A 19,302-nucleotide genomic window follows, 5' to 3' on the forward strand; every position below is an offset into this window, starting at 1 on the left:
ACTCATCATCATTCTACTACTCAGGGAATACTTAACTCTGTTCTAGGTGGTTAAATGCATTACCTCGTTGAATTCTCACACTATTTCTGTGTACTACTTTTTACCCTCATTTTATAGATAAGGAAGCTGAAACTGACAGGTAGTCCAAAAAACTTCTGTCCTGTTTTCTTCACCCCCTCAACCCCCGGTAGATTTTCTAAGTAATATTCTATAAAATATTGCACTTCAGAATGGTTTAATAGGTTAATAAAAGTACTAGGGGAAAAAGAAGCAGGGGTAAAGAGGCAAATACATTTGAGAAACTCAGGGTTAAAAGAGCTTTACAGATTTCTTGATTGAAGGACTTCTCAGAGCATTCAGTGTGCTAATATAATTTATAAATACCTAAGGCTGTGTTTCTTCTGGCAAACAGTACCTCTGAGTGACCTGGGGAGCCGTTCGAAAACACTGATTATCTCCAGGCTCTACCCCATTCCAATTAAACCAGAATTCTCCAGGTGCAACTCAAACATTGATTTTTTTTTTTTTTTTAAGTTTTCCAGGTGATTGGAAGTGCCGCCAAGGCTGAGGACCCAGTTCTATGGAGGAGAGTGGCATGTAATTGTTGACTTCCTTTTATTTCACAGAGTGCCTGCTTAATATCTCATGTGGTAAACTCTAGCTTAGAAAATACTGAGACAAACTGTCAAAATATCCCTAAAATTCCAATAGTTTAGGCCCAGCTCACATTTGCTAGACTGCTTTGTGGCCCAAGAAATAGAAAAAAAAATTCCCTTGTCAGATTGAAATAATTTTCCTTTAAAATCGTATTGCTTTCTCCAGAATTTTTATGTTGAATTAAAAAACTGTATTGCTGAATTTTACAGGAAGAATCCCGGTCTATAGGTCACATTTCTGAGCTGCCCCTCAGTATCTGCTGGACAGCCAGAACAAGAATCTTTACCACATGAAGCAAGGCAACAACCAAAAAAGCCAGGATTTTATATTGAAATAGACCTATTTAAATGTCAGAAAGCTCAGAAGGGGTCAAGACCACATAGAAACATACATACATACACACACACCCCAATACATAAAATTCCTCTGCAAATACAGGATTTTAAACTTTATTTTTCCTATTCTTATTTTAAATTTTTTAGAGATGAGGTCTCACTATGTTGCCCAGGCTGGTCTTAACTCCTAGCCTCAACTGATCCTCTCGCCCCAGCCTCCTGAGTAGCTGGGATTACAGGCAGGAGCCACTGTGCCCAGCTAAAGATATCACTTTAAATAAATGATCCCTCAAAGCTCATGGGAAATTCTGTGAAATTAAGATAATTTTAAAAATTGAGATATAATTCATGTATCATAAAATTCACTCTTTTAAAGTACACAATTCAAGAAATTAAGTTAATTTGAGATACTCTGAGTCTCTGTTTCCTCATCCATAAAATGGCTATAATATTGCCAACCACCAGCGGAGACTGGTATGAGATTAAATGATATAAGGCCACAAAGTACCCTGCATATCATAAGAGCTCAGGAAATTAACTTCTCTTCTCTATGGAGAATGCAAGCTTCTCATTATAACAGACCTTTTTTGAGGGCAAGGGTGAGAACTCTTTCATGCAGTTGGTGATGGGCTGGAAAGAGCACCCTGAAAACACTGCTTGCCTCATTCCCTTCACAAGCTAAGAGAAGCAAGGAAGGGTTGGGAGCCCAAGACCCAGAATGTTACCTGCAATATATCGAATCTCAGGTAAGCACATCATGAGATCAGGAAAGCGGTTCGGCTGATGTGTGTATTTATATTCAGTAAAATCCTGGCAAATGTACCAGTATCGTTTATTCAATTGTTCCAGCTGTGAGGCACTGGTCAGACCCCTGATATCTGTGGAAAAAAAAAAAACACACACACACATACAGGGAATGGGATGGGCATTCTAATGTGGAAGAAACACCAGCTCCTTAAATATGTTCATTTTTCAACTAAGTTACTAAACATTGTCACAACAGGAGATCTCCTCTGATAGGGAGGAACTAAGTTCTACCTAAGGGAAGAGAAATGAAGAGAGAGAGGAAAAAAATACAGAGGACAGTAAGCAGACAGAGCCCCTCGAGGGTTAAGGCTTCTCTCAACTTCATACCAAACTCCCAAAACAACCAGAGAATACCAGTAAACACTAAACAAATGACTGAATAACCTACCTTTCCAAATTAATCCTTCACAATATCTTTAAATTTGCCCTTCGCTGGAACCAATCAGAAACCTTGCCAATACCTACACATTCATGCTTGTAAAACACACACACACACACACACACACACACACACACACACAGCACCCTCCTATGCGCTTCTGTTCTTAATCTTCTTCCTGGGCTGTCCCTCCATTTTTTTTAGATAGGGTCTCACTCTGTCACCTAGGCTGGAGTGCAGTGGTGTGATCAACAGCTCACTGCAGCTGGCTCAATAGATTCTCCCACCTCAGCCTCCTGAGAAGCTAGGACTACAGGGTGTGTGCCACCATGCTCAACTAATTTTTTAAATTTTCTGTAGAGATGGGGTCTCACTACGTTGCTTGGGTTGGTCTCAAACTCCTGGGCTCAAGTGATCCTCCTGCCTTGGCCTCTCCAAGAGTTGGGATTACAGGCATGAGCCACTGTGCCTGGCCCCTCCATTTTTTCTAAATAGATCTCTCTCTCTCTCTCTCTCTCTATATATATATACACACACACACACCTTTTTTATATATAGAATATGAACATAAATATTCTATATATAAATCTTACCGGCCCTTTGAGGCTCAGCTCAGATTTCTCCTTCTTCAAGAAGTTGCTACTGTTCTCCCCCAATCTGAGGCACAAGTAATACGTCAAGTGCCATCAGAATGTATACTTCTTGAGACCAGAGACCTGAGTCTAAGTTTTCTCAATGTCTTTAATGCTCAGCACAGGGCTTGGCCAAAGGGAAGCATGCAGAACACCAGATAAATGCATGAATGGTGTAAAAGCAGGAAGAGGTTTGGCCAATGTAGGGGTGAGTAGGCCAAGAGGAGAGGAGCTCTGGACTGGAAATGGGACACAGGACGAGGGCACTTGCAATGCCACAGGCAGCAGAACAGCCCAGTGCCACTATAGGAGCAGAGTACACATTAGCTATTTTGGAAAAAAGAGAATACAACCCTCCTCCCTATACTGGTTTTACCAGCAGCTGCCAAGTGCCCCTTTGCAGGTAAGATACCACATAAATCACATCTGGCATTCTTTTAATTAAAAGCCATGCTTGATTGTGTGTATGTGTGTATGTGTGTGTGTGTGTGTGTGTGTGTGTGTTTGTGCACCCCTGCTCTGCCCTGAAGGGGCTGTCAGAACCACTGCCAGCCTGTCACAGAGGCCTTATCTCCAACAGTTTCATCAGTCACTCTGCTCTTCTTCAGTCACTGGTAAACTTGGTACATATTTAAAATGACGCATGTACTGTCCTTGGTGTCTGTGTGCAAATGCATTAAAACTGACTAAACAAAGCGAATCCTCTTCCTTCCTCTATGAGTTATAGAGATTGTGGCATTTCAGTTTGAAGAAAAAAAAAAATCCAAAGCATTCTCGCATTCCCTGTACTATAAGGGTCAGGGTGATGACAAGGGGGTGCACAAGTCTTCCTGGATTGAAACCCAGATGGTGTGATGGATTCTGTGTGATAGTCCTGAGGGTAAGGAGGGGTGAAACAGGAGGGCAAATGCTCACTGCCTGCCTCCCGCACTGCAAACGTCCCTTTTCCCACCCCAGCCACTCACCTTGATTTAGGAAGTTAATTGCTTTCATGCAAGCATACTCCTCGTTGCTGACCTTTAGCTGATGGAACTTGTGATAGAGGTAGATGAGCCGCTCGATCACCTCCATCCCTTCATCACTAAATCTGAGGAACAGACACAGGTGTTAACAGTTGGCTGTGACACCAGTAGGGGCCAGGAAAGGGCAGCCAGAGAGCTCCTACAGCTCCTTAAACAGGCTGAGCTTGGGGGAAATGGGATCCAAAGCCACTTGGGAAGTACAGGCAGATCCATGCTTTGTCTACAGGCCAACGTAGCTCATGCAAGCTGCTTTTTCCAAGGTCAGGTAGAGTCAACCTAGGTTCAAATCCAGCTCCATCACACACAAGCTATGAGATCTTGGCAAGGTCATCTGACCCCTCTATGCTTTGAGGTCCTCCTCTGCAAAATGATAATGCTTGCATTCTTGGGCTAACAAGGGCCCAAGAAGGTCTGGGATATAAATGTGGAGAAGTACAACATTATTAAGATACAGCTATTGTAGAGATTCAGCCTCTGGTATCAATGGCAGCTGCCATGGTGACTCTATGTGAGCCTCTGCCACACTGCAAAAAAAGCTGCTGATTGTATTTGCTTGTGTTAACTGTTTCCAGCAGAGCTGAGGTTATGCATAGTGAAAATTTTTATTGGCATCCCTGACTTTGGCAGGAGGGAGGAAAACGTTAACTGAGTTTCCATACCACGCCATCCTCTGTGCTGGGCACTTTGTGAGCATTATCACATTTAATTCTCTCAACCCTATGAGCTAGGTGAGATAATCATCAGCACTGTACAAATGAGCAACTGAAGTTCAAAGAAGGGAGGGTCTGGTCCACAAATACAGTTAATTGGTGACAGAGTAGGAATTTGGAACCTGAACCCAAAGCCTTGGTTTTTCCAGTATCTAAGGTGGTGTACCCTAGCAGAAGTGGCTCAAAGCCCCCATGCTCTTTTCTTTGGGTCTAGGAGTGAGCTCTCTGAGGAAAGACCAAGTTTTAGGCAACGGAGCCCCAGGCTAGGCCACCCCAGGGGATTAATGTTTTGGGTATACTTCATACCAGAGATGGAGATACCATAAAACCAAGGAGGCAAACACTTAATCAGGAAGCAGGAGTTTATAAAAGACGAGGTCAAGTCTGGCCTGAGTCATTCTAGGAGTGGCCTGGCTAGTGGGCAGTGGGTCCCAGAATAGGCCTTAGATACAGCTCAGTCACAAAGAGAAGCAGCTTAGCTTCAGGCATGCTTCCTGGTGAGATCTTCAGATCTGCGCACTACAGGCCTGTGCCAAGCCAAGAAGGCCCTATCTGGGTAGGGTCCAGAACACCTGGGGATGAACTATTGCTTTCTGGAATCTACTGCTTTCTGTGTTAACTTTGAAGGCTTTGCAGGCTTAGGCTTCCTGGACAAGCAGGACACTTTCTCTTGCTTGGGGAAAGCCTGGCTCTGGTTGGGGCCAGAGGCTCCTGCCCTTTTTAAGTACCAAGGGGAGCCTCAGCAGCAGGTAGAACTAGTTCTCTGTATCCATGGGTTCTATATCTCTGGGTTCCACCAACTCCATCAAAAATATTTTTTTTACAAAACAATACAACAATAAAAAAAGACAAATTTTTAAAACACAATATAATGGCTGGGTGTGGTGGCTCACACCTGTAGTCCTAGCACCTTGGGAGGCTGAGGTAGGCAGACTGCTTGAGCCCAGGAGTTCACGACCAGCCTGGGCAACATAGCAAAACTCCATCTTTACAAAAAATACAAAAATCAGCTGGGCATGGTAGTGCGTGCCTGTGGACCCAGCTACTCGGGAGGCTGAGGTGGGAGGATCACCTGAGCGTGGGAGGTTGAGGCTGCAGTGAGCTGTGACTGTTATCACTGCACTGGCCTGGGCAATAGAGTGAGACCCTGTCTCAGAAAAAAAAAATAAAACAAAAAACCAAAAACCAAACCAACCAACCAACCAACCAAAAAACCTAAAAAAGAAAAAAAACAACCTCCCCCAACAAAAAACCAGTGTAATAACTATTTACATGGCATTTACATCACTTATATCGCATCCAGTATTATAAGGATTCTAGAGCTGATTTAAAATATATAGGAAGATATGCGTAGATTATACACAAATACTACACCATTTTATATGAAGGACTTGAACATCTGTAGATTTTGGCATCCATGGGGGTCCTGGAAGCAATCCTCCACGGATACTGGAGATGACTGCACATGCAATCTGGAACGTTGACCTTCGGCCTTGGCATGGCTCCTAGTATGAGCTGGGGATTCTTTTAGCTGATTTGAGCTACTATGGCTGACTCAGTTTCTCTCTACCTGGCCCAATGGCTTTTACAACTTTACTGATACATTCCCAGCCTGGCCGATACATTCATATTGAATAACCACAATAACCACCAATCTATAATACCGTTTCTACCACTCTACCATTTGTTGAGTGTCTGCTACCTGCGAGGCACATTAAGTATTCTACATTTAATCTTATTGATATTCCCAATAAATTCACAGAATGGATACAAATCATAACCCCCTTTGTTTACATGTGGAAATGAAGGCTCAGGGAGTTATTTACTGAGTCTCTATTATGTATTAGGCCTTTTCATATGCATTCTTACACTTTACCTTCCTGATAACCTGGAAGGATACATAGTAAGTATCACTTCCATGTTAGGGATGAGGAAGCAGAAAAAGAGATGGCTACCCCAAGGTTGCACGGGAAGTAAATGGTAGTGGTGGTGAGGCCAATGTTCAAACCTAGGTTTTCTAATTCCAAGCATATGGACTTTTCTCAGCACTACACTGCCTACCCTTGATCCTGTCTTGTTCTTAGCTGCTACCTGGAAAAGGCTAACCACATACTACCACAGGGGACCTCAGGAGTTGTGTCCCCACAGCAACTCAGAGCAGGGCCCAACCTTGGGAGGATGTCAGGTCTGCTACAGTGCACAGAACTGCCACTGCAAGTGCCTCCAGGATGCTAAGACTTGCAGGAGGCGGTGTGCCTGGGAGTGAAGACCACTCCTCATCATAGCACTGTGTTGGATATTTATGTTCTTGGGAGTGGGAAAAAAAGTTCTTTACTGCCAATTTCTTTCAGTATCTGACTGGAGGGGTGGGGATGAAATGGGGTAGGGCACAAAAAAGGAGGACACAACGGGAGAGGCAGTGTCAGCATCTGTCTGGTGGCCTAGTATGTAGCAAGCAAAGATAATGCTCTGTCCTTTAATCAGCAACCCCTTGCCCCAAGTGTTCACTCTGGCACTCCAGACCCTGCAGGTGTGTGGCTATCAGCCAGACCCCTAGCCAGGAGTGCCAAACCTGTTCCTGGCTGACTCTTGACCTGAGGGACACAAAGGAGTTCCCAAGTGCCTGGCCTGTCCATACACCCTAGATCTGCCCTTTCTCTTGCGGACAGCACATCCTTCTTTTCCAAAATTCCTCCAACAGGCAGCCACCGTGGACCCCCAGCAGTGATGGGGGCTGGCAGCCAGCCTAGCAGCCCCCACTCAGTCTCCACAGCCTGACTGCAAAGCTTTCCTCCACACCCCGCATCCCACCCCTTGATAAACAAAGTTGTTCTCTGTTCCACGGGCCTGCCTTTGCCTGCAGCCGTGCCTCCTCCACATCTGCCCACTCCAGTTTTAATGCCCCTGTATTCACTGTCTACAAATTATCAGCATTCAAAGCCAGAAAGTTGGACAAACACACCCATTCTTCTTCTAGGTTCCCATTACACAAGCATGCTGGGACAAGGAAAACATTCCTGCCAGGATCCCCCAAACCACTGGACCATTCAGTCAGCAATTGAAACTGACACTATGTAAGTTATGTCCCATTAAGGGGGCTGAGAAACTCAGTTGTCTCTTTTTCATTGATCTAAATGCACCTACCCCCAGGAGTGGCCATCAGCCACAACCTTAGAGAAACTGCCATCTCAGCACCCATGTAAAGACTCCAAGACGAAAACTAAGACTAGTTTCAGGACAAATTCCAGAAAGTCAAACCTTTTGAAAATGCTCTGGGAAAATAAGAATTTAGTATAAGGCAATGTTAAAGAGGCTGGGCATTGGAGCACAACAGATACAGGTGATAAACTTAGCTCCATCTCTATCTTTGTAGCCTTTAATTTTCACCTCTCAACCTCATGCTCCTCATCTCTAGAACAGGGATAATATTAGTGCCAGTCACACAAGGTAGCAGTAAGAATTCAACAAATAATGTATGTAAGGCACTTAAGATAGAATTTGGCATAATTGTTAGCTGTTATCATTACAAATAGCATCATCATCTCTCTCCCATTATTGTAGCAAAAATAAAAGCCTGTTTCCTGAGCCTTATAGTTAGGCAGGGAAGCTGGGAGGCAACTTTCCAGAGATCTAGCAGAAATGGAGCTGGTGCTCATGAGATAGAGGTACCCATTAAAGCCCATCTAGCTCAAGGCATCTTCTCCTGAGAGGAGTCTTGATTAGGGCCAGGAGCAGTCACTGGCTGGTGCTACAATCTGCTTTAAATCAAATTCACCCGGTTCACTGTCTGATAACGGTGTGATTAAGGAATATGGGCACCATAAATTTGATTCAATATTTGAGAAGAGAAAAGGAGGTGATCATGTATCATCTGGGAAAAGCCTTTCCATGACAGCAGGAACTCACTTGCACTCAAGAGTTGTGAAGAAGTAAAGGCCATCTGGGGGAGTGGGAGCAAGGCAGTAGCAGGCAAGGTAGGAGAGTGCTATGGCCAATTACAGACTCCACAGCCTGGGTTTCTAGCAGAGCGGTTACTGCTTTCCAGTGGTTAACCTGACTCTAGAGGTTCTTCCACTTCCTATGACCTCCTAGGCAGTCCTACATGCACCTCAGACTCCACAGACACCTAAACCAAACTCAGAGTTACTCATCTCCCATCCTGATCTTCCCTGCTCCTTCATCCTGGCTAAGAAAATTGGTGCCCACCTGCCTGGCTAGTCCAAAAAATCAGCAGTCATCACCAACATTTTCCACTCGCTGAAGTCCCACTGACTTTATCTCCTTGACATCTCTTGGCTTTGTGCTCCACTCTCTGTCTCCACAGTCACTGCTGCTTTGTCCAGGCCTTGTTCCCTTTTACGTGGGCTATGGAACAGCCTCCTTCCTACCCAGCCACCATGCTCCGGTCTTGTCCACGCCAATCCATCCTGAACTTTACTGCCATAGAGATCTTTCTAAAATGCAACCTGACTCTGTAATTCCTCCACTTAAAAACTTCCCAAGACTTAATACTAGTTACACAACAAACCCCAAATTATTTAGATTGACATTTGAGCACCTTCATGACCTGTCTTGCCTGTATCTTTCTCTCTAGTCAATTCTCCCCTCATTTCTCTGTCTTAGATACATTCTCTTTATACCCTAAATCCACAAAATTGCTTTTGATTCCCTGCACATAGCAACCATCCAGGATCTCTAACTTCTAGGACTTTGTGTTATCTCCTGCCTTCCTTCCTTCCTGTTCTCTACAACGTTCCTAGAAATTCCCACTTCAAGGTGCAGCTCAAATGTCTGTTCCTCTGGTAAGTCTTCCCTGACCCTGTGAACAGACGTACTCACTCCTTGGTCTATGCTTGTACAGTTCTCTTCGGATGCCCCGCCATCTCCACCAACACAACCCTGCACTGTAAGCTGTATCTGCTTCTTTTTGCCTCCCAGTCCACTAAATCAAGGATAGGGACTCTGAGTCAGAAACCATGTCTGCATCACCTGTGATCCCAGCTTCCTCCCCACAAAACACATGATACTCAGTAAATGGCCATGGAATCAGAACTAACATGTTGAAGTTTAACTGTTATTTTTGCATCGATGGATTCCACAGTAGAGTCCTAACAACAAATCCATTCCTATTCTCAGAAGCCACTTGACAGCTCAGCAGCAACACATGTTCTAAAGACAGCAACGCTCAATAAAACTTTATGTGATGATAAAAATGATCTTTATTTGTACTAGTAGCCACTCGCCACGTGGCTACTGAGCACTTGAAATGTGGCTGGTGCAAATGAGAACTAAATTTCTAATTTTAATAAATTTACATTTTAAAAGCCAAATGAGGCTAGTGGCTACTGTAGTGGACGGTACAGCTTTAGATCCTCCTTGATGAGAAAAATTCCTACCAAGGAAGGAAAAGTTTCCTCACTACTTCTGCTGTTACTGACTTCTGCCTTGGTCTTGGGGCTTAAGGGACTGGCTACAGTGAGATGGGATGCATTATGAAGCTCAAAGCCAGAGAACCCTGTACTGCCAGTGACCCCTGCCTGCCTGCAGAGGGCCTGGGCAAACCCATTACTTGGAAGTGGAGTCCAAAGGCTGATCCTGTAGTCCCAGGCCGAACTGGTAGATTCCAGGCACCCAGAGAGGCTGGGATCCTTGGGCCAGCTCTGCAAACCCTGACAGCATCAGAGCAGGCTGACTGCTATCCAAACACCCCTATGGAGCAGAGTTATGGAGCAGGAGACAGGAATTTGATGGAAACAATGAATTAGAGTCTCTGGACAAGGGGTTAGGTCAACTGCAAAATCAGATAGCTCTATTTACCAGACAGAGTGTCAGCTGGGTTCAAAACTCTGTCATTTACAGATCACCCTGAAGCCAGTAAGCATCATTAATAAGGAAATATTAGAAAACAAGTAGAGAGAGTCAGCAAGCTGACTCCTCCCTCCCCTAGCTGTGCAAAGGGCCCTTGCAGGTCTTGGAGCACTGTGCTCTTCCTGAGTCTTGGCTTGTCTTTATGCCACAACTGGGTGGGAGGGGGAGATGGATCCCAGTTCTGTGAAGAAAGTGTAAGGGCTGCTACTTTCCCCTCTCCAACTTTCATGGATAGGGGCACCTTTTTTTTTTTTGAGACGGAGTCTCGCTCTGTCGCCCAGGCTGGAATGCAGTGGTGCAAACTTGGCTCACTGCAAGCTCCACCTCCCTGGGTTCACGCCATTCTCCTGTCTCAGCCTCCCAAGCAGCTGGGACTACAGGCGCCCGCCACCATGCCCGGCTAATTTTTGTATTTTTAGTAGAGACGGGGTTTCACCATGTTAGCCAGGATGGTCTCAATCTCCTGACCTCGTGATCTGCCTGCCTCAGCCTCTCAAAGTGATGGGATTACAGGGGTGAGCCACCGCACCCGGCCAGGGGCACCTTTTCTTTTCTCCTTCTTGGTGCCCTGGAATCCCATGACTTCCAGTATTTTGAATTGGCCAATAAAGGTCATTTATTGAAATGTCTATTTAAATACAAACTAAGCATTATAAGACTTTTTTTTTTTTTTTTTGAGACGGAGTTTCGCTCTTGTCGCCCAGGCTGGAGTGCAATGGCACAATCTCAGCTCACTGCAACTTCCACCTACCAGGTTCAAGCGATTCTCCTGCCTCAGCCTCCCAAGTACCTGGGATTACAGGCATGCGCCACCACACCTGGCTAATTTTTGTATTTTTAGTAGAGACAGGGGTTCTCCATGTCAGTCAGGCTGGTCTCGAACTCCCAACCTCAGGTGATCCACCTGCCTCGGCCTCTCAAAGTGCTGGGATTACAGGCATGAGCCACGTGCCTGGCTATAAGACTTTTCATATGGATTAACAAGGCAGAAAGTCATCTCAGCAGATCATCTGTCTTGATTTTAGGGGTCAGAAAATATGGTCACCCTGTGCTCCAGGTCTGCAGAGTAAATGAGTAAAAAGTGTGCTTGGACAGGCCCCAGAACAGCAGGGAGACAACCCACTCTGGACAGGGAGGTTTTAAGGATACTGGACAGCTGGGATAAAATTTTATGCCAGAAAATGACAAAGAGAATAGCTCAGTCTTTTAGTCCTATCCTTTCAACATCTCACCACATCTCAGACGGAGTCAAAGAACCTAAGCTTTTCAGGCAGGCAGGCATATGCTCAAATCTAAGGCTCTGGATTCAAATCCCAAACCCTTATGGGAAAGTCTCTCTGAATTTCAGTTTTCTCATCTATAAAATAGGCACAACACCACCTATAAGGCTGGAGGCTGCGAGAAAGAAAGAAGACAATTAAAAATATCTAGTCTAGACCGGGCGCAGTGGCTCACGCCTGTAATCCCAGCACTTTGGAAGGCAGGCGGATCATGAGGTCGGGAGGCCGAGACTATCCTGGCTAACACGGTGAAACCCCATCTCTACTAAATATACAAAAAATTAGCCGGGCGTGGTGGCGGGCCCCTATAGTCCCAGCTACTTGGGTGGCTGAGGCAGGGGAATGGCATGAAACCGGGAGGCGGAGCTTGCAGTGAGCCAAGATTGCACCACTGCACTCCAGCCTGGGTGACAGAGCCAGACACCGTCTCAAAAAAAAAAATCTAGCCTAATGCCTGGCACACTATAGGCACCAAAATGACCCCTAGGTCTCTTTCTTGGATTGTAAACTCCAGTTCAGAGCCTCTCTTGCCTTGTAGGCAGAATTTATATTTTTATTTTTCCTGGATGCGTTATCTCAGTAATCCAAGTATAATAAAGATCAGCTGGGTGCAGTGGCTCACACCTGTAATCCCAGCACTTTGAGAGGCTGAGACGGGTAGATCACTTGAGGTCAACAGTTTGAGACCAGTCTCGCCAACATGGTGAAACCTCGTCTCTACTAAAAATACAAAAATTAGCCAGGTGTGGTGGCAGGCACCTGTAATCCCAACTACTTGGGAGGCTGAGGCAGGAGAATCACTTGAACCCGGGAGGCAAGAGTTGCAGTGAGCCAAGACTGCGCCACTACATTCCAGCCTGGGCGACAGAATGAGACTCTGTCTCAAAAAATAAATTAATTTAAAAAAAATTACAGCTTAGCATTCTGCTAAGCTTGAATGCATAAAATGTATTCCTAACAACCATCTTACTGGGGAAATTGTGTTATCACCCCATTTTACCAGTTCAGAACCTGAGGATCAGAGACTTGGCCAAGGTCACAAATCTAGTCAGTGGCAGAGTGAGGATTCAAATCCAGGCCTATGAGGTGTAGTGCCTATCCTCTGAAGGGCCAGGCAACTCTGCCTTACAGGGATGACAATTGTTTGGTTGTTTGGTATTTCCTCCCCAGCCAGGAGGCCTCACCTGTGTAGTTCTTCATCGGAGGGCGAGTACTTGGCAGTGACATCAGCCAGTTCCCCAAAGATCTGCTTGCTGTAAACGGTGAGGGAAGACAGCAGGATTAGCTCCTGCCACGTAGAGCTCAAGAGGCACGTGTAATCCTTGATTGAGAGCTCGCAGAAGAAAGGCAGTTTCTTGATCCAGGCAATCTGCCTAAAGAGCAGCTCGTCGGCCAGGCGGCAAAGCAGGGCAAATAGTTCTGCCTGTGTCACAGCGTATCTGAGGGGCAGGGACAGGGGAAAGTCACTTCCATTGGTCAGAGGGTGAGGATAAGGGTACAGAGAGAAGGTAGTCCCAAGGGCACAAAGGGACCCTGGCAATGGGCTCCTTGCTCCATGCCCACGGGTCTCCAGTTCCATTCAGTGTGATTTTCTGATAAAGGGGGAAGGCTGAGGCCAGCAGCAAGTTCAGGGCTGGAGAGGCGGGTCTGGTGAGGAAAGGCTGCTAAGGGGAAAGGAGACTTAGAAATGTGTGCAATTGGCTGGGTGCAATGGCTCATGACTGTAATCCCAGCACTTGGAGGCCACTTGAGTTCAGGAGTTCGAGACCAGCCTGGCCAACATGGTGAAACCCCATCTCTACTAAAAATACAAAAATTAGCCGGGCGTGGTAGCACATGCCTGTAATCCCAGCTACTCGGGAGGCTGAGGCAGAGGCAGAAGAATCACTTGAACCTGAGAGGCGGAGATTGCAGTGAGCTGAGATTGCGCTAATGCACTTCAGCCTGGGTGACAGAGCAAGACTCTGTCTAAAAAAAAAAAAAAAAGAAATGTGTCCAATTGTCAGGGAATATGACTTTTATTGTTGGTGTTCTCTAATGTTCCATGTCTTAGAGAAAATCCAAGTCACTCCTGTTCAAGTTCTGGCAATGGAACTCTAATGGGGTGGATCTGATGCCCACCTAACAAAGGAACTGGCACAAAAATAAGCCTCGCGTCCAGACCACTGAAGGAAAGAGAACAAGTTCAGAAGATTTTTCTGCTCTCACTCCACCCCCTGGTGGTGAGTTCAGGAACCAGCATTGCTCAGCCTTTCCTTTAAGCTAAAACTGGAATAAAAGCCGGCTTTGAGACCACAGACTCACAGACCCAAGAGTTTCAGCTTTCTTCCTCTCAAGGCCCCTTGCCAAGACTTTTCCTCACACTCCCACATCTAAATTTTTTTTTTTTTTTTTTTTGAGACGGAGTCTCACTCTGTCACCCAGAGCTGGAGTGCAGTGGCGCAATCTCGGCTCACCGCAACCTCAGCTCGCTGCAACCTCCACCTCCTGGGTTCAAGCAATTCTCCTGCCTCAGCTTACTGAGTAGCTGCGATTACAGGCGTGTGCCACCACACCCAGCTAATTTTTGTATTTTTAGTACACACGGGGTTTCACCATGTTGGCCAGCTCGTCTGGAACTCGTGACCTGGTGATCCGCCCACCTAGGCCTTCCAAAGTGCTGGGATTACAGGCATGAGCCACCACGCCCGGCTTCCTACATCTAGATTTACAAAGGGTTTGTGTGACCTCCTTGTGGGTAGATATTTTAATCTCCTCTTCTGAAACTGGAGACTAGCTTAAGAAATCTCAGGATACCTTCCTGGGAGGTCTAAGCTTGATAACACTCAAATCGTTTATGCTCTAGGCCAAAGGAGTAATGGATGCAGCAATGGGTAGGCCCGAAGGCTGAACTGTTATCTCCTCAGGTAGAAGTGACTAAAGACTGAAAGAATACTCCTTCTACCCACTCAAGCCTGCACTTAAAGTGGTCACATGCCACCAGGCTAGCCATGGGGATGCTGGTGAGGGGTGCAGACAGGCTACAACCAGCCAGGGCTTTGTGAAGGAGCCTATATCCGATATATAACTATTCCCAGAATTACTGCTCATCTCTAGCATGGAAGTGCTCTGACCCATCCCAGCACCTGGCTTACCTAGGCCCAAGCAGAATCAAAGGCCCTTCTATCTCAATTCCATAGGAACTGGAAAGTAACCTCAACTCTATGAGAAAGGATGCTTAAGGAAAAAATAAGGGATCACTGGTTTCAAAGATAAGCACAGATTTGTCCCCTGACACTTGAGTCATTATCCCCCCAACTCATTCTGAAGCCACGGGTATAGGAGCCAGGGACGCGAGTGGGTGTGGGGTAGGGACACTTTGAGACTGCAAGGGGCCAAGAAGGGCGGAGCTCACTCACCCATCTTCAATCAACATGGGCGTGCCCAATGGTTCCAGGTCCTCGGCTGATAACAGCTGGTGAATCAGACTGTATGACTGGGGATCCAGGCTGCGAGCTTGTTGGGGCAGAAGTGGTGAGTGGCCAGAATAGCTAAAAAGGTGCGGTATATATTGGTAATGTGGAGGCACAGACATTCCCATGTACTGTTCCCTGAAGGCCATGAATCCATTCAGTTCCACAGACCTACTGGAGAGAAAAGTCTTGCGTCAAACAGAGCCATGGCAAGTCTAGTAATTACTCAAAGGAAGTGAGCCAGAAGGTGACTTTAGGTATTCTTTGAACATGAGGTATGTGTCTTCATCAAGCCAGGGGGCATAATTAATAGTTAAATTCATGTCTCTCCTACTAGATTCCCATCTGTAAGACAAAGACTCTATGGGTATATGAATGTTGGGGTCGCCACTGGACACTCAGTGCATGGCAGAGTAGGTAATGAATAAATATTGGTTGAATGAATTCTTTGTATAGGTGCCATGTCTGGACAGTTTTTTAACAGATACTTGTAGACTATGATGACAAAGTAGGTATTTATATTATAATACTGCTAGGAAAACTAAGGCACAGACAGGCTAAGTCCTGGCTAGGCCACAAAACAAATCCAGCATCTAGCAAGGAACCCGGCATGTGGCAACAACCCCCTAAATAGTCCAAGGAAAGAACAAACGAAGGGGCACCTGAATGGGATAAAAGCTTTAATTAAATATGAAGACAAAGGTAGATTTTTGCCTTCCTTTCCTTTCTTGGAGAAAGCTAACCACTCTGTCAACTAATTAAAAAAAAAAAAAAAACCTAAGCCAGCCACAGTGGTGTGCACCTACAGTTTCAGCTACTTGGGAGGCTGAGGTGGAAGGATCACTTAAGGCTAGGAATTTGAGACAAGCCTGGGCAACATAGCAAGACTCCATCTCTTTTTTTAAAAAAAAAAGTATTTAATTAACAACGACAACAACAAAAAAAGACAGAGTCTTGCCATGTTGCCTAGGCTGGTCTTGAACTCCTGGACTTAAGCAATCTACCCACCTTGACCTCCCAAAGTGCTGGGAATACAGATGTGAGCCACCATGCCTGGCATCTCTTAAGAAAAAAAAAAATCTTCCAGCTTTTGCCTAAATGTATCTCCTATAACTGGGGTTGGCAAACTTTGGCTTGCAAGCTAAATCCAGCCCACTGCCTATTTTGGAACACAGCCATGCTCACTGGTTCACATAATGTCCATGGCCATAGCTGTTTTCACACTACAAAGGCAGAATGGAGAAGCTGAGATCCAAACCATTAGGCCCGGAAAGCTGAAAATATTTACTATCTGGCCTTTGCAGAAAAAGTTTGTCAATCCATATCCTATAAGAAAGGTTTCTGGGGAAAGGAAAGCTTCCCTAATAGCTGAAGGATCTATTTCACACTCGACAACTAACTAAAGATATGCTTGAACCAAGAGTTTCTAAGTTTGTATTCTCTGATAGCAGCAAATTTGACTGGCTTAAAAAGCCTTCAATGTTTCTTAAAATTTATAAAGTGAAAAACATTGACTCTTGTGAGGCAGAGAAATTACAGTTTAATTCAAAACTGTCAAAAAGGTTTATTTCAGTGATAAAATAAATGAGGGAAAATGGCAACATTTAAAATGTTATTCTGTTAGGTGAAGAATGCACGGGCATGGATAGAAGCTATAGCACTTTATCAGTCTGCAGAAGAGACCACTGACATTTTCAAGGTCTTTAGCATAAAAGGGGCTGGGAAACACTGTTTTTAATCTTCCTGACCCCTACTCCAAGAGTCTGAGGGAGCAACAGTACAATGGCTGAGACAGCCTGGCAGGGATACTCAGCCAGAGGTTTTCTGTAGCTCTCCCTTTGGTGGGGGATCCCTAGATGATGACCATGGGTTTGCCTTAAAGCTCACCTGGAAGACAGTGTGGAGCCTGGTGAGGGCTGGTTGCTCTCCGAAGCCCTGTTCCCAGGGGAACTGTGGTCACTATCACCATGGTTGCTCCAGTGATTGGCCTCTTCCTCAAACTCCTGCCCAGACATGATCCTTTCGATTTCTTCTTCCGATATCTTTGACAAGGAATTGAGACATGTTAGATGGGTGCTCAGGACACTTGCTCTTTCTTCAGGACTGAGAGCTTATTTAAATCTCATAGGATTTCCCAGAAACCTAGGTTCCCTCTCCTCCATCCCCATATTCCGGGCCTCTCACTAATCTTAGGACGGCGTGGCTTCCTTCCTACTGGCACCATGGCCCTTCGTGGCCTTCCTCCTGCTCATTTACACTACTCTCAAGCCGTGAAGCCTCAAGGTTCTTTCAACTCCTTTTTGTCCTTGAGGCTATTCTTTCCTAACCCTGAAACACCACTCCTCAATGACAATCTCCTACTTGCCCTTTAAGATTCAATTCAAATGTCACCTCTTGCCAGGCATGGTGGCTCATGCCTGTAATCCCAAAACTTTGGGAGTTCCAGGAGTTCAAGACCAGCCTGGACAACACGGTGAAACCCGTCTCTACAAAAAATAGAAAAATTAGTTGGGCCTGGTGGTGCATGCCTGTAGTCCTACCTACTCTGGAGACTGAGGCAGGAGATTCTGGCCTAAGCTCAGAAGATTGAGGCTGTAGTGAGCCATGATTGCACTAACCCACCCCAGCCTGGGTGACAGAGCAAGACCCTGTCTTAAAAGAAGACAAAACAAAACCAAACAAAAAACCCCAAATGTCATGTCCTTTGTGAGGCTTTCTACCACCACATTTTGGATACTCTCTTCAACAAATAGTGCTGGGAAAACTACATCCACATGCCCCGCCCCCAGCCCCCAAAAGACATCGACCCCTTATACCGTTCACAGAAGTCAACCTCAAAATAGATTAAATATTTAAATGTAAGACCTAAAACTATAAAACTCCTTGGAGAAAACACAGGGGAAAATCTTCATAAAACTGGTCTTGCCAGTGATTTCTTGGATACAACACCAAAAGTACAGACAACAGAACAAAAACAGCCAAGTGTGACTACATTAAACTAAAAAGCTTCTGTGCAACAAAGGAAACAATCAACAGGGTAAAAAGATAACCTATGAAATGGGAGAATATATTATCATACATTTGATAAGGGGTCAACATCCACAACATACAAGGAACTCCCATAACTCAGGAACAGAAAAAAAACAAAACAAAACCCACTGAAAAATGAACAAGAAACTTGAACAGACATTTCTCCAAAGAAGACAAATGACCAATAGGTATATAAAAAGATGCTCAATATCACTTATCATCAGGAAAATACAAATCAAAACTTGAAGATATTACCTCACACCTGTTATGTCTGTTGTATGTAAAAGAACACAACAACAACAAAAAAACCCCAAAACAAACAAACAAACAAACAAAAAACCAGTCCAGAAAATAACAAGTGCTGGTAAGGATGTGAAGAAATGGAAACCCTTGTGCACTGTTAGTGGGAATGTAAAACGGTGCAACCACTATGGAAAACAGCATGGAGGTTCCTCTAAAAGTTAAAAATAGAAACACCATATGATCCAGCAATCCCATCTATGGGTATTAATCCAAAAGAACTGAAATCAGGATTGTGAAGAGATATCTGCACTCCCACGTTCACTGCAGCATTATTCAAAATAGTCAAGAAGTGAAAACAATTTAAGTGTCTGATGACAGAGAAATGCATAAAGAAAATGTGATATATACATAAAACACCTTAAAAAAGAGGAAAGTCCTGTTATAAGCTATACCAAGGGGGAACCATGATGACATTACACCAAGTGCAATAAACCAGTCACAGAAGCACAAATACTGCATGATTCCACTTTATGAGGTATCTAAAGTAGTCAAACTCTTATAAGCAGAAAGTGGAATGGTGGCTGCCATGGGCAAAGGGAGAGGAAAATGAGGAACTGCTGTCTAATGAGTATAGTGTTTCAGTCATGTAAGATGGAAAAGTTCTAAAGATTTGCTGTATCAGAGTGTGTATATAGTTAACAACACTGTACTGTATAATTAAAATTTTGTTCAAAAGGTAGATTTCATGTTATATGGTTTTTACTTCTGCCATAATAAAAAAGAGCAGCTATTAGTCCAGACCAAGAAACAAAAAGAATTTGTAAGACATATATATGACTTGAATAACGAGAATAAAAATGTTTTAGAAAAAAAGAATAAACACAGCA

The 19,302-nt window shown here is 44.7% G+C and overlaps 1 protein-coding gene across 6 annotated transcripts in view, besides 1 other annotated feature; it reads right to left on the bottom strand.

The window, feature by feature from the left end:
- Positions 1–19,302, bottom strand: part of NR6A1 (nuclear receptor subfamily 6 group A member 1) — a 254,037-nt gene that overhangs the window by 5,729 nt on the left and 229,006 nt on the right. For 3 of the 6 annotated variants that reach the window (NM_001489.5, NM_001410996.1, XM_047423226.1), the window contains 5 exons: positions 17,030–17,184; positions 15,089–15,313; positions 12,875–13,129; positions 3,776–3,897; positions 1,718–1,870 (listed from right to left, as the gene is read on the bottom strand). In NM_001489.5, coding sequence (NP_001480.3) covers positions 1,718–1,870; positions 3,776–3,897; positions 12,875–13,129; positions 15,089–15,313; positions 17,030–17,184 — 910 coding nt within the window. Of the gene's footprint in view, positions 1–1,717; positions 1,871–3,775; positions 3,898–12,874; positions 13,130–15,088; positions 15,317–17,029; positions 17,185–19,302 lie in introns of all 6 variants that reach the window. The other 3 variants (NM_001278546.2, NM_033334.4, XM_005251918.6) reach the window with 1 other exon arrangement.
- Positions 12,710–13,210: an enhancer, noted in NCBI's record as "H3K27ac hESC enhancer chr9:127297992-127298492 (GRCh37/hg19 assembly coordinates)". NCBI's record gives its function as "activates a minimal SCP1, AML or CMV promoter by ChIP-STARR-seq in naive H9 embryonic stem cells {active_cell/tissue: H9 hESC(naive)}" and the evidence as "EXISTENCE:reporter gene assay evidence [ECO:0000049][PMID:30033119]".

Source organism: Homo sapiens, chromosome 9, assembly GCF_000001405.40.
Source record: "Homo sapiens chromosome 9, GRCh38.p14 Primary Assembly".
In the NCBI taxonomy this organism is placed as follows: Eukaryota; Metazoa; Chordata; class Mammalia; order Primates; family Hominidae; genus Homo; species Homo sapiens.